This window comes from Homo sapiens, chromosome 21, assembly GCF_000001405.40.
Source record: "Homo sapiens chromosome 21, GRCh38.p14 Primary Assembly".
In the NCBI taxonomy this organism is placed as follows: domain Eukaryota; kingdom Metazoa; phylum Chordata; class Mammalia; order Primates; family Hominidae; genus Homo; species Homo sapiens.
Window position 1 is genome coordinate 37,877,127 of NC_000021.9, and position 23,111 is coordinate 37,900,237.

At 46.0% G+C, this 23,111-nt stretch overlaps 1 protein-coding gene across 1 annotated transcript in view, besides 1 other annotated feature; it reads right to left on the bottom strand.

Moving 5' to 3' along the window:
• Positions 1 to 23,111, bottom strand: part of KCNJ6 (potassium inwardly rectifying channel subfamily J member 6) — a 309,085-nt gene that overhangs the window by 269,754 nt on the left and 16,220 nt on the right. The window lies entirely within an intron of this gene.
• Positions 12,251 to 12,443: a silencer, noted in NCBI's record as "fragment chr21:39261680-39261872 (GRCh37/hg19 assembly coordinates)". NCBI's record gives its function as "represses an EF-1alpha promoter that drives an FKBP-Casp9 reporter gene in an ReSE screen in HepG2 liver carcinoma cells {active_cell/tissue: HepG2}" and the evidence as "EXISTENCE:reporter gene assay evidence [ECO:0000049][PMID:32094911]".

Here is a 23,111-nt window from a genome sequence, read left to right on the forward strand (position 1 = left end):
TGGTGGGATTAAGTTAAAAAAGGCAAACCCACCAACGCCTAATTGGGGAAATAGCAAACTCTGATTTAATCACAGTGATAAAATAAAAATCCACCCTCTCACCTTTTCTCCCCAGGTCTCTCCTGATAACTCTGAAAGTCTAAAACAGCAGTACCATTCTTCCCTGCCAAAGGTATTATCTGCAGTTTCTACCATGAAATACACAGGTCAACAGTTGGTAGGAAAACTGACCGCATGAGAACATTCCTGCAGTTTTTATCTAATGATGTTGAAACAGCTCTCTGCAGGATGTGCAGAGGGAAAGAATCACTGATCTGTGAGATGCTTCTTCCCTCAAACAGAAAAACTTGAGTGTCAAGTATAAAATCCAGATGAACAAGTTGCTTTCCAAATAAAAGGAAAAGAGCTGGAATATTCTGTTAATGCATCAAACCTAATGTGGAGTAAATGACATTAAATCTTGGCTAGGCTAACAGGCCACCGAGATTTAGACCTGCAGGCTAAGTTGGCTCTTCCTTATGGAAGGCAGAACAGAAATACTGCTGCTCAACGTGTATTTCCCCACCTACAGTCGGATCGGCCACAGGTGGCCTTTGAGGACACTTGTCCCTCTCACTTCTTCCTCTCCAGAGGCTGATTTCCTGGGACTGTGGATTTGAACACTCCATTGTTTTAGTTGGAACTTAATAGAATACCAGGTTTCAGAACAAAAGTGGGTGTATATTGTCTGTCTCTTTTTCTGGCGCATGCCGGAAGTTCATACACTTAATTTATTTGACATTTTGCAAGATAAAGCACAAGTTGGAGAAGAGAAAATTCAAGAGAAAGAAAAGGCATCATAAGACTTTTCTTAAAGAAAGTGTATGTCAAAGAAATGACTTAATTCTGAGAGTACACTCCATAGGAATGGATGACTAAATGGTTTCATTTAGAGACAGCTCTTTTTGTGAGTTTCTGTCCTCTATCAATCTGCACGGTGGAAACAATAAGCACTGAGCTTTGAACAACCAAGGTTTGAGGGAGAAAACACAGTAAAATGCTAGTTTCAAAATAAGTAATCTTCAAGCATAATTGAATTATTCCTGAGCATGGAGTTGTAATGTCATATCCCATTGTGACTACTGCTGCATTTGTGGGATTTTTTTTTTTTAAAGAATTACCTTCTTTAGAGAGGAACAGAGATAATAAGTATTTTTTATCAATATCCTCATATTCAACCTCTTTCCCTAAACTGTGAATTGAAATTCTAAGCAAATAGCTTTGCAGAATTGCAATGATTTGCTTAGCAGTGTTCTGAGTTAGGCAAGTAGTGAAACCAGCTCAGCACAGCAACTGCTTTCTAGGCATCCCTGTGGTGGGCCAGCCTGCCCTTCCAGCAGGCTTGCAGGTCTACCAGCCTCCTGTTACCAAGTCCAGCCCAGCCCTATGGCAAGAAACCAGGACTGGCATGAAAGATGGAAGAGCTTAGCATGAGGCCTTACCAGCACCAGAAAGTAGGAAACTTGTGTGCTCCAAGCATGCGCTTCTTTTTGCCCGGTTGAAATTTGATCAAGGTACCAAATGTGTCTAACATACTATGTCTACCACTGAATCACAAAGGGAAAAATACAGGTGGGGCTGGGTGGGGAAAGAGGGTCCGGGAGGGAAAGGTAGAGCGGTATGTGGGAGGGGGACAGGGGCATGTGACGACCAGCACTCACCCCCACTGGAAGGCTGTCTGCCTTGTCACATGCTTGCTGTGAAAATGGCGATCCCGTGTGATGTTCCTGATAGACCAACACCACAGAGTTTCACAATTATTTGTGCGTATGCCTGAATCCAGTACTAGACTGTGACCTTCTTGAGGGCAGGGACCGTGTATTGATCATCATTCACGCCTGCATATGGCTCTTCAGGGAGGTTTGTAAAGGAGATGATTGAGAAAGACCATAGGAATCTATCCTCAACAGCAAGTCAATGCAACAGACGGTGATCTTGCTATGATCTGGCTAGGTGCCAAGTACAGTAGTGAGCTGAGTACTGAGTAATGGGAGTGGTCATGCATGAGACATATTCCCTTCCCCCAAATTGCTCAGTGTCTAGATAGGGCCATGGCAGGTTTATGACTAACTCCATAGAGAATTTGTACAGGTCAGGATGTTAGCTGAAATTGACTCTGAGGACAGGGAAAGGTGGTGTGAAATGCCTCCAGAACAAAGGTGGGTTGCATTTACTGGACCCCCTGCAGCACGTATGCTCCCACTGGATTCCTAGTGATGCTCCAGCACTAAACTTGTGATTATGAGGCTTCTCTGCACTGGAAAAAGGCAGCTCAGTGGGCAGAGTGGTAAGGGGGTTGGCTATGACCTATACTGGCTACTCCCAGCTCCATCCCTGCGTGAGTGATATCCAGGACTACACTAAGTTCACTGTGCCTCAGTTCATCCGAGATCATGTCCAGGTACAGAGGAAGGCCTATTTGCCCAAAATAACATTGCTCTCTTCCCCGGCTGAAGACTGGGTCCTGTTTGTTTCTAGGGTTACAGACAAAGTAAAATTATGGAACTTGCCAGGTATCAGGAAAAACTCAATGTCTGCCTTGAAATGAAGTGTGTGTGTGTGTGTGTGTGTGTGTGTGTGTGTGTGTGTGTGACAGAGAGAGAGAGAGACAGAGAGAGAGACATGCATGTCGGATTGGGAGGAGAGATGGTTCCAGGTTGGATAAAAATATTTTCCAAAAAGAATCTTGGATTTGAAGGTGGCCTGTTATTTTCTATAGGGTCCAAAACGGAAGTAAAAAAACCCTTTGACTCACCTATAGGTTTTTATAGAAATTTACACCTAATTTCTTATTTCAAATGGATGAAATGTTGGCTGGGCATGGTGGCTCACACTGTAATCCCAGCACTTTGGGAAGCTGAGGCAGGTGGATCATTTGAGGTCAGGAAGTCGAGACCAGCCTGGCCAACATGGTGAAACCCGGCTCTAAAAATACAAAAAAAAAAAAATTAGCCGAGTATGATTGATAATTACAGGTGGCAGGCACCTATAATCCCAGTTACTCGGGAGACTGAGGCAGGAGAATTGCTTGAACCCAGGAGGGAGAGGTTGCAGTGATCCGAGATTGCACCTGGGTGACACAGCAAGACTCCGTCTCAAAAAAGAACAAAATGTGCATTGTCCAGGAAAAAAGGAGTCACAACAGCTTTTGTCAAGCACATTGTACACCACCTCTCACCTCTGCAGAGAAACATTGGAATTTAGTCCTGGTTTGGGGGAAACTCAGACTCTCGCATCTACAAAGGGCATGGGCCATGCCAGGGCTATGGGCCAAACTCACTATCTTCTTCCCACTCAAGTGAAGGAGGGAAGTGGGGAATGCTCCTCTGTAAGATCCCCAAACAAAGAAGTCCTGATTGATAAAACGGCAGGGATGGGAGCCTCAGAAAATGGGATTCCCAAGAGTGAGGGAGGAAGAAGGAAGTGCACAGTCAAGCAAGGGTTAATCAGACGGCTTTGCATTTTCTGTTATTGCATTTTCTGTTACCGCCCTTCAAAGGTTAATAGATGGGCCATAACAAAGGACTTCCTCAGGAATACATTTAGGAAATTTTGGGATCAACAAAGTAAGTGTTTTTATCCAGGGCTTTCCAGGCGTGAAGCATATTTCCCAAGCTGGCTTGACATCAGAGTCTTTTTAGTGGAAGACCTATTGACAACTCACGAATCTCATCCTCCAAGGAAAACAGATGAGAACCCTGCTCTAGGTTGTCAGAAGGCAAACTTCAAAAGAATTCAGAGAACATGTGGATAAGAGCCCATGGATAGAGATGGCTCAGGAGGGATGGGAGGATCTGAAAATTAAAATCTGACAAGAAAAGCTCAAAGGGCACAGAAGAGGCAGAAGGGCAAGGCAACTCAAGTCAAGACTGCCCATGACAACTTGAGCTGATGCAGACGTGGAGAGTCTGGAGGCAGGCAGGCAACCTTCCCTCTGTGCTTTTTTTTCAGGGGTTCACTAAATATTTATTGAGCCTATTTTCTGTATCAGGGGCTGAGCCTAGCACAAGCTGGGATGCACCCAAAGGAAGGCAGTCAGGAGTGGAAAGCTCCGGGATTCTGATGTGGAGAAAGTTGTAGAAAGTAAATATATTTAGTCTGTGTCTTAGTCATCTCGGGCTACCATAACAAAATACAATTGACTGGATGGTTGAAACAACAGACATTTATTTCTCACAGCTCTGGAGGCTGGGAACTCTAAGATGAACTGTTGGCAGGGGTCAGTTCCTGGTAAGGGCTCCTTTCCTAGCCTATAGATGGGCAGACCTCTTGCTATATCTTCACTTGGCCTTTCCTCTCTGCATGGAGAGAGAGAGAGAGAGAGAGAGAAAGTGCTCTTCCTCTGCTTCTTTTGTTGTTGTTGTTATTGTTGTTTTGAGACAGCATCTTGCTCATGCTGGAGTTCAGTGGCACGATCACAGCTCACTATAATCTCCAACTCCTGGGCACAAGGGAGCCTCCCATGTTGACCTTCCAAAGTGCCGGGATTACAAGTATGAGTCTCCACCTCTTCTTCCTCGTCTTCTAAGACCACCTATCCTATTGCCCTCATGATGGGCCCCACCTTCATTACCTTATCTAATCCTAAATACCTCCCAAAGTTCTCATCTCCAAATGCCACCACGCTGGGGGTTAGGGCTTCATCATATAAACCTTGTGGGGACATGAACATTCAGTCTACAGCAGTCTGTAGACAAAAGGACAGCTGGGTCCTGACAGTTGCCTTCAGGTGGACAGTAAATAGGGCAGTGCTAAGACCAACAGGAGGAAATTTGTGACCAGAGACTTGGGGGTCTCACAGCTAAAGCTGCTTAAACATTATAGGGCTTCTGTGTTAGGTAGCAAGTGCCCTGTCTTTGGAAGCATCCAAGCAGGGGCTGGCAGTTTTCACCTTAAGGTTGTTACAAGTGGGATTCCTATGGAGGTGAGAATTCAGTTAGAAGCTCCCAGACCCTCCACTTCTACAGTTTTATGTGGGTTCACTCCATAAGCATTTTCTTCCTTTTTAATTCTCTACTGTGTGCCCAGGATGGTTTTTCTGTCCTGTTTCCAAAGCAGTGTGAGCAGGAGGGGGTTGTAGCCTTGGGTTGACAGATGAGCGTGCTGGGTATACAATCAATATGTGTGCTCAGAATCCACACAACAGGCTTGGGTTTCTTGGTAACAGAAGTGCTGGGGAGATGGGGCTGCTCTATTAAAGTTTAGTTTCATAAACCTTATCCACAGAGGGCGATGAAAACTACAGCACATGGGCAGGTGGCATCAGGAAACCACTGCATGACTGGGCATGGATTTATTGCACTCTTCAATGCTCCTTTATGTGCCACTTACACGCAGCAAATACCAGCCCTTCGCCCCCAGCCTTTCCTCTTGCAGGGTCACCCATTAATGGAAGAAGGCAGACAGGTATAACTATGTTTCTTCACTTTGGCCAAATTCCTCATGGTTTATAGAAAACAGCAAGAGGTAAGGCTTGTGAGAATGGACAAGCTCCAACTGTGGTGGGAGGCAGGCAGGGACACAGCAGGCCAGTCACCACGGGCACTTTTAGTGCATTTGCCATGCCCAGCATCCTATTGCTACTAAATCGACTTAAGCTCGACAAAAATAAAAACAGTCTCTGCCTTACAGGCACTTTAGAGTTTGCAAACTGCCTTCATGCATGGAATGTTTCATAGGACACAAAGAAAAGGCAGCAATATTATTCCATAGTCATAGGGCTTGTGTGTGCGTGAGTGTGTTGTGTGCAAACAAGTGGGCATGCACATTTGTGTGTGTGTGTGCACTCATGAGTGATAGTGCATGTGTGTGGATGCATGTGTGTATGCTCATGTGCCTGTGTGTTTGTATGCATATGTGGGTCTGTATGTGCATGTGTATTCACGCGCTTTTACGCCGGTGCAGGCCTTCACTCTAGATAGTAGAAATAAGAGACCTGAAGTCTAGCTCCCAGCTCTGTCTCCAAGTAGTTGGGTAACCTGGGAGTTGCTTCACCTCCTTATGCCTTTGGCAGTTTTTGCTGAAAATGTAGGCTTGCCCCAGAATCTAGGAGTTGATAAACTCTTTTCTAGAAAGGGCCAGCTATTAAGTATTTTACTCTTTGCAAGTCCCATGTAGTCTCTGTAATAGTTTTATTTTCTCCCCAACCTTTTAAAAATGTAAAAGCCATTCTTAGCTCAAGCCTTACAAAAACAAGTGGTCTTGTGGCCCTGGAATAGAGCCTGCAGACCCCTACAGATTACCCCTTTTAGCCCCAGCAGGATTGAGCCCCTGCCTAAATGAATGAGTTGTCACTAGCATGCATGCTTCATGTTACTGGGGAGCTTGTCATCTGATGGTCTTGCTTGACCAAGCACCTAGTGCCAGGTGGGACATGGCTGTGTTTCCAGGTGCCAGGCGGCGGGCACCGTCTTGGCTTCTCTGCCTGGGGGAAGGCTTATGTAAATGCATTTGAAGTTTCCCTGCTCCCAAAGTCCCGGGCTTCAGAACCAGACAGGCACGGGTCTGAATCCTCATTCTGTCACTTTCTGATTGTTTAGTGCTTGGAAAGTCATGTCACTACTCTGGAACTTGGACAACTGTGTTCAAAATTGTTCAGATTCCTTTCAGATTTGAAATTGTCAGATTGACTCTTAGTGATGCTTGACAGTTAAGCATTTTGAATCCCTTGGTAGGTATAAACCTTTAATGTTTGCAGGGGCTAAGAAATAAGTGAGCCCCTGTTGGCTTTCCAGGTTGGTGACCCCAGAGGACTGGTGTTCAAGGAAGCTGCCTGTTTGCCAGAAGCTGAGCTGCAATCCACAGAGGCATGAATGCTCGTCCACTCACCTGTTCTTCATCATGGGATGCATCTGTGGTAAGTCTATGTGTCTCCTGAAAAGTGTTCCAGAAGGTTGGCATCTGTTTAAAAAGTCTAAAGCAATGAAGTCACCTTACTACTTTGCTCGTGTAGAAATCTTTCTACTCGGGGAACTGCATGTCAGGATTCTTGATTCTCTAGTATGTCTGGGCCTATAAGCCAGGTGTGTCGTCAGGGCTCTATGGATGCATTTCCGCACCTCACATCCATCTCACTTAAGAATGCATCAAGTAGCGCAGCAATGGCAGTGCCTTCTGCAGCTTAGAGGGAGGCACAGGTGTTCACCTTGTTCCTCTCAAGTTCATGGTCATGCTTGCTGGGCTGGCGGGCTACCACGACTGAGACCCTCGTCTCCCTCACTCCTCCTTTCCAGCTTCTCTCTGCATCTCAGCTTCCTGCCTCCTTTCTGTTTCCATCACAGCCTTCCAGGGAGCATCATCTCTCTGCCCGCATCTGTAGTCTTTTAAAAACTGCTACTCCATTGTCTACCCTGTTGCTGGGTTAACCTTCCCCAGAAGCCACATTGCCTTCTGCTACCCCAAGTTACCATTTACTCAGAAAACTTTCAGGCCTGCCCAAAGCCCCAAAGTAAAAGTCAAATTTCACAAAAACTCAGAGTTCCATAGTCTATCTGCCCCCAACCTACCCTTCTATCTTTATCTCAGAATATCTTTATAAGTAGAGTCACCTGGCTCTCATCCCCAGGGACCTAGGACCACTGGGTCAGGAAGAGGGGCAGACACTGGGCTGAGAGCTGTGGCCTGCAGGAACCCACTGCTTAAACCAAGCTAGGCTACTTATGGGTCCTAAATAATGTGCGTCTCACTTCTACAGTCAGAATAAAATAATGGAGGGCATTAATTATAAATGACTACCTGCCCTCCTGCTTCTCAACCTTCTGCTGCAGTTTTCTGCCTCCTTTGCCTTCAATGCTGGTCTAGAGCTTCTTGTTCTCAGAGAAATCTTCTTCCTTTTATCTCAGCACTTATGGCTGTTATTTCTCTGCCATGCTTTCTGAGCACTGTAGATGGTTCCCTGTGTTGGGATCCATCTGTCTAGCCAGTCCTATCTCATTCTGTCCATCCTATCCCTGGATTGACTGCACCCTGAGTGCTTGGTGAAGAAACAGGTTAGAATTAATTCTGAACTGAAAATCATTTCCTAGGAAAGGCCACTTCATCACATAGCAGGGCTCATGGGGTCCTCTTGGGGGAGGTACAGTGGTGGGGAGCAGAGGAAAGGGTCTGACACAGCCACCTTTGTCAGTATTGCCCCAAAGCCTGGAAGACATGGACACAGGTGCTTGTGTCTTATGGTAGGCAGAATTCAAAGGTGGCCCCCAAGATCCTTGCTGCTTGGGGGACACACACCTGCTCCCAATTATCCAATCAAATGCTAAACAGAGACTTCTGAGAAGAAGAGATACAATTAAGATTCCCAATGAATTGACTTTAAGAGAGGGAGATGATCCTGTGGGGGCAGACCTGAGCACTTCAAAGTGACCCCATTCTTCCTTGCAAGAGAGATTTGAAACATGAGAGGGATTCAAAGCATGCAAGCCCACATGGAGGGGACACGTGGTGAGGCACTGAGACAGCAGTCCCAGGAGGGGAGCACAGTCTCCACCTGACAGCCACAAGAATGGGAATCTCAGTCCTGCAGCCTCAAGGAATTGAATTCTGCCAACAGCCACGTGAGTTTGCAAGAGGACCCAGGAATGAATGCAGCCCTGCTAACACCTTGATTTCAGCCTTGGGCAAAGCCCAGCCAAGCCTGCACTTCTGACATCTGGAAGCTGTGAGATGATCAATGGATGGTACTGCAAGATGCTAAGTTTGCAGTCACTTGTTATGCAGCAGTAGATGACTACTGCATGCCTTCTGCCCTCCAAACTTGCCTTTCTCGAGGTTATTTTCCTTTATAATTTATTAACACATGGCATCACCAGGCTCATGAATTGCACCAAGGAGTCCTGGGAAGGCTGTTATCTCTTGGTGGATAAAATGACACGATTTGCTTATTACGGATCCAACAGACATTCTCCCAGAGCAGAGTGGGCTGGAAAGAATGAGGATCCTCCACTTCTCAAGACTCTTTTTGCTACCTGCTGCCAAAATTCCTAGCCTGTTAACCACAGCTCTCCAAAAAATTGGGGGTAGGGGAAAGCTTATATTTTTTAAAAACCCAACTCTTGATCTTTTGTTATCAGAGCTCCAAGTTAACCTAACTCTGCACCAGAGGCCTGGGTCATGTTTAATGCTGGACTAGAGTATGCAGCTGCTCACTCTTACTGAGACACCCTTGGTTTCTCAGTGTTGCCTGGTGACAGCCAGACACCTGGGCACCACCTGCAGGTCCTTGCTGCCATGGACCAGTAGCTTTTCCCCGAAAGTAAGAAAACAGAGTTAATAATTTGGGTTTGGGGATGGATCATCCTGGGTCTTTCCAAGCTCCTTAAAGAATCTCATGTAATTAGAGCTAACCTGTCCCAATTTCAAATCAAAAGGTAACATGATTAATATACTCTAAAAATAGAGGTAGCTAAAGGCACTTTTAATAAGGCATCACGCATATAGGCTACTTTTAAGTATAACCTACGATTAAGTCTCTGGATTTGCCCGCTGAAGGAAGCTGAAATTGAGAACCCCTCTTAACAGACGAAGAGCTGCCTGCTGCCTCTCCATTTTCACTTTGCAACTCTTCAGCCTCCTTCAAAGCCTAGCTGTCACTCTGGCTTCAGAGCCATTTCTAGAACCTCTGGCTTCCACTTTTTGAGGGCTGGAATCGTGACTTTCAGGTATCTTTTCCCCAGCCCCTAGCAGTTTGCTGACACACAGAAAGCCCTCAGGGAATGTTGATTTAATTAGTTAAAATTCAACTATTTCCCCCACCACCTGATCCAACCTTGTTTTTTTTTTTTTTTTTCTTTTCTAAATTTCACTCATCCTCTGTTCCGGCTGACAGACAGTAGTGTGGGCCATCCACCCCCACTCCCAGGAAGAAAGCCCTTCCTTCCCTCTCCTACCCTCACCACTGCCTGAAGGCTTCTGAGCCTGCTTGGGAAGCTCAGCTATGGTCTCCTGGTGACCAAGGAGTTTCCTGCATCCTGTTATCCCCTGCTGAGAACTTTGGTCAAGTCACCCTTGTGTGGGAGGCTCCCAAAGTGAAATAACTCTTAGACCAACCTTGTAAAGAACCACGGTAGGGCTGCTCTGTTTTATAGCCATACCTTACCCCAGAGTTAGCACAGGGTCCTGTATTGACTAACCCTCCCCCAGCCCCATCCTCATGCCTGGTTATGAATCCCAGGTTGGCTTCCTGCAAAACCAAGCCCCTTCCAAGTCGGGTTATAGTTTTCAGTGGTTGCTATCATGCATCCACTCCTCAAATCTTTTTTAAGTGCCCCTTATAGGCCAGTTACTGTTCCAGGTACTGAAACTCAGCAGTGAATAAGACAAAGTCCTTGCCTTCATGGAGCTTGCATTTTGGTGGGAGATAAAAGCCAGAAATAACAGCTGTGTATTCTAGCTGTAACCTAAATCTCAGGAAATGTTACGTGCTGTAAATTCAAGATGTGTAAGAAGATAATGAGTGATGTGTGGTGGTGATTTTAGGGTGGTCTGGGATCCCCTCTCTGATGAGATGACCTTCAAGAAGAAACAGGATGGATGTGAAGGGGCAAATTTTACAAAGTTCTGGGGAAAAAGGTGATCTGGAGAGGGATCTGTAAGTGCAAAGATCCTGAGGTTAGAACAAACTTGACTTCCAGCCCTTCACCATGAAAAATGCCTCAATGATTGAATATAGCTTCTCTTTTTCCTATCCTGCAGAATGTGGAAGGAAAGTCACGGGAGCTGGGTCAAGGCAAAGGAAGACAAGATCAGAGGAAGCCTTCACCTGCTTGTTGGGCAGGTGGCCTCTGAAGCTGTGTGGGCCTGAGGCAGTCAGCCAGGCTGGCCAGACCAAGGCTTGTTGCTGCCATAGCTGGAGCTGTGTAGGGAAGGTGGGATGAGATGCCATGGGACTCCTGGTCACTCTGAGACAGGCTGTTCCCAATTGTCTCCATGACAGGCCCATGAAAACCAAGGCTGGCTATTCTGGACTTAGTGGGGTTGATGGGGATTGCAGGTGGTGTGTGTAACACAGGCAGCCTCACTACATGGTGCGTGTGATTTTGGGGTGCTGGTAACCCTTTCTGATTCCCCTCAGACACTTTCCTCTCTCTCTTCTTCTACTGCTCCCACATCATTCTCAGTAATTCCCTTTTCCCCTTCAGCCTCTCCATCATTCAAACCACAGGCTGAAGCTAATTGGCCCAGGAACAAAAAGAACACTACAAGAACAGATAGCAACATTCTTAGCTTTGACACCCCAGATAGTCTTGGAAGTCTGGGTTTTGGAATACAAGGGCCAGATGGATTTTTTTTAAGTTCTCCAAAGGTTGACTTTGGAACCAGGCACTAGACCTTGGAAAACTTAGAGCATAAAGATTTGGAAAGAAGATATGATGTTGTAACAGCAGTTTTCTCAACAAATAGAAGATAAGAATCCTACCATGGGGATGGGAGGAAGGTGGATAAAATTTGGCAAGGAGAGAAGGATGTATGGGGCCCATGCCCAGCCATCTCCGTGAAGTTGGAGACCTGGTGGGGCAGGAGATACGAGCCCATGGGTGAGTTTGGGGATCACAACGCAGAAGAGATCTGCACCTCATTTGTTCATACGTGGCCCAGAGAGCTCGTAAACCAGTTAGTGAGCCCCACTCCTAGTACTGAAAGTTGGAGTGACAGGTGGGGTGTGCACCAGCAGAGGTGTGTGGTTTGGACAAGCAGCCAGGCCATGCTGCGGCCTAAGCAGCAGACAGAGCCGGGAGACTGAGGTCATCAAGGTATAACCTGAGGCCATCAAGTTACACCTCAGTGGAGTTCACAGAAGTTGAGACCTCAGGCCAGAAGCCTGCTTCCTCTCTCCACCTGACACCATAAGGCTATGTCAGCCTTCCCCAAACCCACTTGCTGTCTGCAAGAAGGAAGGTAGGAGATGCTGAGGGTGGGGCATCCTGAAACCTTGACCTGTGTGGGTGGTGGCTTCAAAATCAGATGTGAACCACACGTGACTGAGGGAACCTTAAACTGGCAAGTTGTTCTGCTACTCCCTAGATATGGGGGCTTGTGAGCTAAGTGGAGTTCAGGTCTAAAGAAACGAGGTTCTACCTCTGGATGTTTTGAGGTTTGTGTTTGTGAGATTCCTATCTGCAATCCCTCACAAATTGTCTCAACAGGCAGAAGAGCCTATCATTTTATGATAAGAAACGAGCCTCAATGTTTGACAAGCAAGGAGCCCTCCAGAATCCCCATGCTGCATTCCTTGGTGCAGGCTTTAATAGGAGGAGGTGACGGCAGAAGAACAGGGTAAGAGGGGAGGGCTGGGCTGGGGAAAGGGGTGGGTGTGGTTCACCATTTTGCCCAGGGCCGGCTGACCCTGAGAAGAAGGTTTTGGGTGGTGTTCCTAGAGGGCTGCCATGACAAAGTACTACAACCTGGGTGGCTTTAACAACAAACATTCATTCTTTCAGTTCTGGAGGCCAGAAGCCCCAAATCAAGGTGTCTGCAGGGCCACACTCCCTCTGAAGGCTCCAGGGAAGAATCCACTCCATGCCTTTGTCTGAGCTTCTCACTGGCCAGCAACCCTTGGCATTCCTTGATGTGTCTACAGACCCATCACTCCAATCTCTGCCACCATCTTCACATGGTCTTCCTCTCTCATGGCCATCCCATTGTCTCCTCTTTTAAGCACACCAGTCATACTGGATTAACATTCACCCTAATGACCTCATCTTAACTTGGTTACATCTGCACAAACCCTATTTCCAGGTAAAGCCACATGCATAGGTACCAGGCATTAGGCCTTGAGTATGTCTTTTTGAGGGACACAATTCAACTCAGTGAGCTAGCCTGCACAAATTCATTTTTTTTCTTCCTATTTCTGGATGCTGGGTTTAGATAAATCAGCCTGAAAAATTTATATACTTCCATATTAGTCTTCTCATACTGCTAATAAAGACATACCCGAAACTGGGTAATTTATAAAGGAAAGAGCTTTAATTGACTCACAGTTCAGCATGGCTGAGGAGGCCTCAGAAAACTTACAATTATAGCAGAAGAGGAAGCAAGCACATCCTTCTTCACACGGCAACAGGAGGGAGAAGTGCCAAGCAAAGGGGGAAAAGCCCCTTATAAAACCATCAGATCTCATGAGAACTCCCTCACTATCATGAGAATAGCATGATGGTAACTGCCCCCATGATTCAATTACTTCCCACCAGGTCCCTCCCATGACTAGTGGGGATTACGGGGACTACAATTCGAGGTGAGATTTGGGTGGGAACACAGCCAAATCACATCAACTTCTCAAAAGAGTTTTACAGTCAATTCACATTTCTAAGTAAAAGAGCTTAAGACCTATTTTAACCTACGACATAAAAGACTTCTGCTTTCGTGGCCTCCTGTTGCCCTGGAAGACACTCCTGCAAGAAGGCTGACCTGCCTTCAGCTGCATGTCTGTACAGCAAACCCACTCAAGGTTTGACACAAACCTTCTATGTGTGAAACACATGCTGAGATTTCTGATTTCTGAGAGTTGAAAAGAACCATGCAATTGTAAATCATGTACAAAGGAATAAAACATGGCGGCTCTGTGTGTCAAAAGGTTTTCCCCTGCAAGTCCCACAGACATGGGGAGTGCATCACATCGGTACAATTCAGGAGAACACTGCCTCTGACTCTGCCCGCCTCCCCCGCATCCAAGCAAGCAGCCAACAAACAAAACAAGCCCCAGTGAAGCTGTAGCCTACTGTGGGTTTCCAAAAACCTTTACAGAATCGAATCTGGCAAGATGGCACATGGGGGCAACCTTAATAAAAATCTTTCCTGTAAAATATTGCGCATTGAAAGTCAGGTTATAAATTCTGGAAATTTCTCCCTAAAGTTAAACACAAGGGATCCTGAGGGTTTACTCTGATCTCCTGAATCTAACTGTACGATGCTCACCTACCTATCTCAGAAAGGTGAGTGACAGAAGGACTGGGAAGCAGGGAAGGCATAGGGGACGGGCTTTCCTCCTTGCTTTCATAGGATACTTTCACAGGTGGGCCTCTCAGCTGTGTGCTGGATGGATGAAAGGTGAGCAGGTTTTGCAAAGGCAGGTTAGGGGAACCACACACAGACACACACAGGCAAAGACACACACACAGAGACAGGTACAGACACACATAAACATGCACACATAGACACAGAGACAGATACGAACACAGACACGCATAGACAAACACACAGGCACACATGCACGGACACAGGCATGTACACTCTGCACTGTACACGATGTCATTTTAGGTGTAGTGAGAATAATTTTATATAGAGATCAAAATTTTGCCTCATATCTATGAATGGTTCCGACTAGCTAGAAAACCATGGATGATTAAGCACTGCTTAGAAATGTGTCCCTAAAATCTACAAAGTTAAAAAAATCCCTTAATATGTATTTTAATTTGTGTAACAGGGGATTTATGAATTGAGTACTTGTAGGCTGTTTGGGTGAGAACATTTCCAGGCTTTCTTAGACCCAGCTGAACCTAGGGGGCCCAGGTTGCAAGTGTTTGAACTACCAGATACCAAGCCCTCTCAGTGACCCCCTCATATATAAATTTTAAAGGCTTGAATATCCAAGTGCCAAAGTCGATCATTTGAGATAAGGGCCTCAGCTCTGCATTTCACTCTTTCTTCTTGCAGCTGCTGTTCCTGTTGGAGGTAGCAAGGACATTGGTGCTGATGCTGGCGGCAGTTGTGGTGGTGCTGGGCTGGGTGTGGGTTGATGGTCTCAAGTGTGGGATGGGGAAGGGGTGTGGGATGGTGGGGGTGGAGACACGCATCACATGACTCTCAGATGATTCTTGGCAATAAGAAGACAAAGATTTTCATGTTGGGAGCTTAAACACTGAAGAATTTGCAGGTATCTTTTTAAAGCATTCTTGTGATTCTTCTTTAAATCAATGGTTCTCAACCCTGGCTGCCTGCTACAACCATGTGGGAGCTTTTGAAACATACCAGTGCAGAGACTGTTCCCCATTGTAATTCTGATTTAATCAGTCTAGGGTTTTAGAGTGAGGAGCTCTTCAGGAGATGCAAATGTGCAGACAGGGCGTTGAATCATTTCAGGTCAAATGGGGCATCCCAATACAGCAGTAAGAGTGAGAGGGAGCCCTGGGCACAGCCATTTCTTCTGCAGGAACAGCACTGATGTGGTCCTGGCTGATCGTAAAGTCACCTACCTCAGTTTTTAATAGTTATTACAAAATATTTCAAGCATTCAGGAAATTATATGGAATTTCTATGCTCTGACCTCCAGGTTTAATGACTGTTAGTATCTGGCTATATTTCTTGTTTATTAGTTTAGAAAATACAGCTGTAAAAAAATCTGGTGGCTCTGACTGGGTTGGGAAATTTGGGATACCTTTGGGCAAAATGTATTGAGAAGACAGGCTGCTCACTTAGGTCCCTGCTGGGTCATTTGCACTTTAGTATAAGTGAGGCAACAGGGTGAAGGCAATGGTAGAGACTTAAGGTTGGGCAAAGATGGGGAGGCAAGTTGGGAAAAGGGGTGCAGAATGGGCATAGGGCTTAGGATGTCTATGGCAACCCCAGGTTGTCCACTGTTGACCCTGGCAATGAGGTAAAATCTTTTCACTGAGGAGTTTTTAAGAAGAAATCACTATACAGGAGAGTGAGAAGTCCCAGTTTTAGCATTCTTTGTCCCCATATGGCTTCTTTCATAGTTTTTTTTTTTTTTTTGAGATGGAGTCTTGCTCTGTCACCCAGGCTGGAATGCAGTGGTGTGATCTCGGCTCAGTGCAAGCTCCACCTCCCGGGTTCACACTGTTCTCCTGCCTCAGCCTCCCGAGTAGCTGGGACTACAGGCGCCCGCCACCCAGGCCAGCTAATTTTTTTTGTATTTTTAGTAGAGACGGGGTTTCACCATGTTAGCCAGGATGGTCTCGATCTCCTAACCTTGTGATCCGCCTGCCTTGGCCTCCCAAAGTGCTGGGATTACAGCCTTGAGCCACCGCACCCGGCCGGTTTCTTTCATAGTCTTATGTTACATTCCTGGGTACCCTTTTGAATGTTCCCCTATTTTTTTCTTTTTTTGGAGATGGAGTCTCACGCCATCTCCCAGGCTGGAGTACAGTGGTGTGATCGCGGATCACTGCAATCTCTGCCACCTGTGTCCAAGCAATTCTCCTGCCTCAGCCTCCCAAGTAGCTGGGATTACAGGCACCTGCCACCGTGCCCAGCTAATTTTTGTATTTTTAGTACAGATGGGGTTTCACTATCTTGGCCAGGCTGGTCTTGAACTCCTGACCTTGTGATCCACCTGCCTTGGCCTCCCAAAGTGCTGGGATTACAGGTGTGAGCCACCGTGCCCAGCCTGTTCCCCCTATTTTCTAGGGAAATGTTGACTTCTTTGGTCCATACCTTCTTGCAACAGCACTCGGCTCCAGCACTGTGTGTATAAATGGCAGCCTGTGCCCTCTCTCACCTACGGCTGGAGAAGCCTTTTTTTTTTTTTTTCCTCTGCCTTTCCTTATTTGGAGTTGATGCTTTTTGACATTTCTGTCCAACAAATACTACCTTGGGTTCTGGATTATATTCTACGGAAGCAGCTGACATTTCTTTGATCCTTCCATTTGAAAATATTTATTTTAAAAAGATTGAGAAAGGTAGAATTGACTTCTAAAATACTTCAATAAATAACCACTTTCAAGTTGCCATGATTCACTTTGGCAGAGAGATGCTATAGACAGATAACCCAGAGCAATGTCAAAAATAGACACAAACGAACCCTGCTCAATTCTGGCCTCTTCCTTTCTCTTTCTTTTCACTGATTCTATTCAACATCCTGCCTTCTGCAATCTTAACATGATCTGTTAAATTATGGTATAATCAAAACCCTGTCACCCTCCATCACTTATAACTTCAGGAAGCCTTATAATTCTTGCTTAACCATTCAACAAAACAAACATATCAGGGGATGGTCTAGCAAGCTTAGTTCTAGAAGCTTATTTATCCTTCTTTGATATCTGTCTAAACTCATACAAAGGAACACAAGTCACTTAGCAGATATGTGGAAGTTAGGTACAGCCTTGCAACATCACAATCACCAGGGAGCTTGCTGGAAAATGCAGAATCCCAGGCCCCACCCCCGATCTACTGAACCAGGATCTGCATTTTAACAAGAGCCCCAGATAACTGCTGTGCACATTGAGGTTTGAGAAACACTAACTTACAGCATAAAAATCAACACTTGGCTGGGTGTGGTGGCTCACGCCTGTAATCCCAGCACTTTGGGAGGCCGAGGCAGGTGAATCACAAGGTGAGGAGTTCAAGACCAGCCTGGCCAAGATAGTGAAACCCTGTCTCTACTAAAAATACAAAAAAATTAGCTGGGTATGGTGGTGGGTGCCTGTAATCCCAGCTACTTGGGAGGCTGAGGCAGAGAACTGCTTGAACCCGGGAGGCGGAGGTTGCAATGAGCTGAGTTCGTGCCACTGCACTCCAGCCTGGGCGACAGTGAGATTCCATCTCAAAAAAAAGAAAAAAAAAATCAACATTGTACCACTCAGCTCCCTCATGCAGCATTAACTTACCTGCCTAGAAAATGTGGCTTTACTACTTTTGACGCTGCTTTTAGGTCCCCTCTAGGTGAGGCAGTTTTAGGGAAAAAAAGCACCAATGATACAAGCATTTTCTTCAAATTTCTTTTGTTAATGTGAGAGTGATAATTACAGTCTCACCAGTTTTTTTTTAAAGAATCTAGAGATGTCCACTTTATTTTAAAATTATGTTCACAGTGTCATATTTTCTATTTTCCTCTTCTTCAGAGATGGGATCTTGCTATGTTGCCCAGATTGGTCTCAAACTCCTAGGTTCAAATGATCCTCTGGCTTCAGCCTCCTGAGTAGCTGACATTACAGATGCAAGTCATTGTGCCCAGCTCCATATTTTCCATTTTCTAACTAAAATGACATATGCTAAGCAGGGGAGAGAAATACACAGAACTTCCAAGCTATAGCAGTTCAGCTTCTTTCTAAAACCCAAATAATAGCCCTGGGATTTAGAGATGAGCAGGAGAAGGGCTTTTCTTAAGGATTCAGGAGGCAACACGGCTTTGTCCTTAAAGACCTTAATGATCATGCCTTATCTTGCCAACTTTAGCTGCCTAGAAATGTGAAGGGCTTAGAAACAGCCAGGGCTGAGTGGGGTGCAGCTAGCTTCAATATGACCCCATTAGTAGCACCTTTGGAGGTGTCTGCTCCTAGTGGGAGAAGTATGACCAGACTTTTGAATAGAACCAGCTTTGTTTCTGGCTGAAGATGACATCCTTGCTTTAGTAAATCCTCCTCTCCATGATCCAACATTTCTCTCCTTGACCCATCCCCATTTCTAGCTACCTTCACTGACCCCATAGAGGTCATTCTTTGGAAGCACCTGAAATAAAAGATGCACAGCCCTTTCCTCCTCTGTCCCTCCCACCTGGTGAAAGAGGCAGACTTTCCCATTAACCTGCCCTCAGGGTGAAGTACATTGTCCTGATTACTTCAGTAAAGAGGAACATTGGAATGAAGGTACCCCAATCAGGGAGGCTGTGTGATGAAGACAAAGGGCTTCAGAGCCATCTCCCTCCCTCTCCTGCCCTGACAGTGGTGCCCCATTCCCCATTTTTAAAAGTTGGAAATCTGAGGCAAAGCCTTATTGTAAAATGTTGCAGTTTCTCAGGTATTCCCAGGGTGAAATCTCACCCCTAAAATCAGAAACTTTCTCACAAGTCTGATAAATGCCTGCAGGCTCATTGTATTACGCCGTTCTTGGACTGCTATAAAGAAATGCCTGAGACTGGGTACTTTATAAAGAAAAGAGTTTTAAGGGGCTCACGGTTCTGCAGGCTGCACAGGAAGAATGATGCTGGCATTTGCGGCCTCTGGGGAGGCCTCAGGAAACTTACAATCATGTCGGAAGGAAGAGGTGAGAAGCAGGCACGTCACATGACAAGAGCAGGAGGAAGAGACAGAGGGGGAGGTGCCACACACCTTTAAACAACCCGATCTCGTAAGAACTCACTCACTATGGCGAGGATAGTGCATGGATGGTGTTAAACAACTTATGAGAAATTCGTCTCCATAATCCTATCACCTCCTTCCAGGCCCCAACTCCATTATTAGGATTACAACTCAACATGAGATCTGGGCAGGGACAGAGACCTAAACTGTATCACCCATGCTAACTGCTGAGGCTTCTGAAGCCCTTCGTAGGGTGCCAGAAGCCACCTGTCTGGTCATCGTGCACACACCTGTTTCCACCTGAGATGACCAGGCTGATGTGGGGCTGACTGCTTCTCACCTGCCTGGCATGGGGTTCGGCTGTGTCTTTGCTAGTGGTGCCTGGAACATTACGGGCACGGAACATGCATTTTCTTGTGGGCCGTGAAGGTGCAGAGGCCACTTTTCTTGGGTCTCCAGGTGAACCTTGGGACTGTGTTACCACTAGGAGGGCAGAGCTGTCACCCCCGATTCCTGGGGGAGACTCAAGGGTGGCACGTGGGCTTGGGGATGAACAAACTCATGGAAGCCTTGTAGGAACACTCAGGGTTTCTCTGGCAGGAGCCAGTGTCTGTCAGAGGAAGAGACAAGCTGACAGCCTTTGACAGAGAAGACACCCGGGCCCCAGAGGCAGCGGAGGACCCCAGGCTGACAGACACACCTCCACCAAAAACAGAGGCAAGCTGACAGTGCCTGGAGCTCACGGTTTGCTTCAGAAAAGGCACCTGAGCTTCAAAAAGGAAAAGAAGAAATGAGTGCCCACAGCCAGGCTGCTGGGAATTCATCCAGGAGCTGTGGCACTGCTGGGGAGGGCCAGAAGCCGGGGCTCCTGCCAGAGCCAGGAGGGCAGCTGGTAGCTGGTTCGTGTGGGAGGCTGAGCTTTGCCTGTAGGAACAAACACTGTGGCTGCTCTTGCTAAGGTATTTAAACAGCATCTCAATGCTGGGCTGACAGTTTTTGGGTATAACTGGGTTCTCTCCATTCTACAAGGCCACTTTGGCTTCTAAGAAGGCAGCTCTAAAAAGAAGTCCCCTCTCCTATTACCTTACAGAACCCCCATTGGTGCGTGGACTCCTCCCCTTGCTTAGTGTGGGAGCCCCACCCAAGGTGCAGCCCAGCAGGGAGACAGAACAGTGTTGTTCAGTCCTGGCTGGAAGGTGTGTGCACAGTGACCCCCGATGACAGCCAAATCCATCCAGGTACAGCAATGGCAATGAGCAGAGGGAGCCTCAGCCCAAAGCTTCCCATGCTGGGAGAAATGACCCACCACACAACACTTTCTTTCTAGAAGCAAAGTTGTCTGTTCCACTGCCTTGTCTAAAATCTTGCTTTAGCTGCTGACTGGCTCTGAGAGGCCACCTATGGTCCTGATCCTGGTGCTCTCCGTGCCCTGTGGCCTGTCCCCATTTCCCCAAAGCAGACCTTTCTTCACACTCTCTCCCTGGGATTGTACTCCATTGTCACACTGCCCTCTAGTCCCTCACTTTTCTAAGCCTCTGTCCCCAGGGCTACCTCGGATTTCCTGCATCCATCAGGGAAGTCTCTGCCTTTGAAGTCCTGGCTCAACCAGGGGTCCGTGCAGACTGGACAATCGCATGTGTCCATCTCAGGGACAGGCTTATCATCACAGCCATTGTATTCTGTACCACCTGTTAGTATAAAAAGTCTTTTGCATCTGTTTTCCCAAAGTTGCCACAGCACTTAAGACCCAGTGGGATCCAACCCCTATTTGCTACGGGAGTAAAAATTAAGTGAGATGGGAAATCACTCCTGAGTTGGAGATCATGAGAAAGAAGAAGGGAAGATTCCTATTAAATGACTGTTATTCAAGTGAACCTTGGACATTGGGCTGTGTGTGCTCACTACTGTGGGTTCTCCATGTTGACCGCCCTTTAAAACCATCTGGGAGGCTCGATGAAGTATCCGTGTGGGAAGGGGAAGGCAGAGCGTGATGGGGGCCACCACACATGGTGTGTCTGAGCAGCTTTGGTTGCTGACGCTAGCCTGGCATCTGTGGAATCTGATTTGTACATTTGAGTGGCCATGAAATGGGCTCTAGTGCCCTTACCGGTCATGGAAAGTTCTATTCCAGGTAGGCCACTGCAGAGTGTCTGTCAAGGATTGTTCCCATTGGATTTCATTTCTTTTAAATTTCAAAAATGCCAGTATTGGGAGGCCAAGGTGGCTAGATCACGAGGTCAGGAGATCGAGACCAGCCTGGCTAACATGGTGACATCCCATCTCTACTAAAAATACAAAATTAGCCAGGCATGGTGGCACATGCCTATAGTCCTAGCTATCTGGGAGGCTGAGGCAGAAGAATAGCTAGAACCCAGGAGGCGAAGGTTGCAGTGAGCCAAGATCACGCTACTGGACTCCAGCCTGGCTGACAGAGCAAAGACTCCATCTCAAAAGAAAAAAAAAAAAAAGAAAAAAAGAAAAAGAAAAAGTCAGTAATGTGTTACTGTTCTATTATTGCCCTAGAAAGGCTGTAGGTGGTGGGTGGAGTTGCAGACCAGGCTCCACAGATGTTATGCATCCTGGGCAATAAGACATCTTCCCTTTCAGCCTCAGTATTTCCATCTGCAGGTAATATCAAAGCACTGGATACAGAGGTATTAGAAGAACTGAATTGTTATAATATTTGTGAAATTGTACTTTTTAAAAGGGAGGCATAGCCAGGGAAAAACATTTCCTTTTTCATTAGTTTAGGTGTAATTTACAGTTGTTTATGATGATGACCCTCTCTTTGCTATATTTCTTTGTTGAAGCTTTGAATACAGAAAAAAGTTTTAAATATCCTGCTTTAACAAGAAAATATTATCCAATGTTTTAAAATAAGAAAGGTTAAAAAGAACTTACATAGTAAAAATGCAAATATTTCCCTCCTTCTGTTAAGAAGTAAAGGCTTTCAACCCTTTAATAAGTATACTTTTCTCAAGTTTTCAGGGGGCAAAACAGCTAAGAAAGGGAGAGACGGCTCCGTCTGTTGAGAAATGTGATTTTGAGTTTCTCCTGGGTAAAGGTGGAAGAACAGTGAGAGGAAGAGATTTTTGTCTTTTGTGTATAATCTCGGTAGAAATCATGACATCGCTTTAATGATATTCTTGCACATGTGAAACTAATAATAGTTTGTGAGCCCAGAGGGAAAAACCAGTTTTGCCCTGAAATACAGCCAAGTTGGACTAGAAAAGCGATTGTTAAGGAAACTGTCCTTAGCTGGATTGTCCTCTTCTCGTTCTCTCTCACTCCCCCTCACTCTGCTTCTTTCTCTCTCTTTCTCCAGCTCTCTTGTCTCACCCTCAAGTCTAAAAATTATAACAGCATTTCAAGAAGCTAATACACTACCACACTTTTGCTGACACTCTTAAAATCTCTTGTAAAGAACACACCTTGGACCCTCACAGCCAGTGAATGTTAATTGAAGAGTGGACCTTGGTAGTGTCTGGGAGAATGCTGAAAAAGACCAGAGGTGGGAAGAGTTCAAGGCCAGATGTCCAAAATGCAGGGCCAGAGTCTCCTGACCCTGATCACAAATCCTAGCTACCTGGTACAACCTAACCTTGTGAACTTGGCTTCCAGTTCCCTACCTACAAAATGGGAAAACAGTAAGTTCCCTTCCTTCCTGGGCGCTTGTGAGAACCAACTGGCTTAATGACTGGGACATTATTGCTGAAAGCTAGTAGCATATGAGTTCCACTATGCAAAGGTGTTTGCTTGGTGTCTGATGTTAATTCCTCCTTTACAACTCGCCCAGTTCGTGTGGCTGGGAGGCTCAGGTTGGGCACAGGTTCTGGCAGCTGAGAATGACCTGTCCAGCTTCTTTGAATGTTTTCATGTCAAATCAGATTGCTTCTGTGGTCAATGGATGAGGGATTACAGATTGTTCTTTCACTAGGAAATGTTAGAATGTAAATAGGCACAGCCTTTTTGAAGGGCAATTTAGTGAAATGTAACAAAAGCTTTCAAAAAAGTGCCTACCCTTTTTACCCAGCAATTATATGTATAATGCTTTATACTAAAAAGGCATTCTGATATAGTGTGTAGAAAGACACAGTGTGTGGG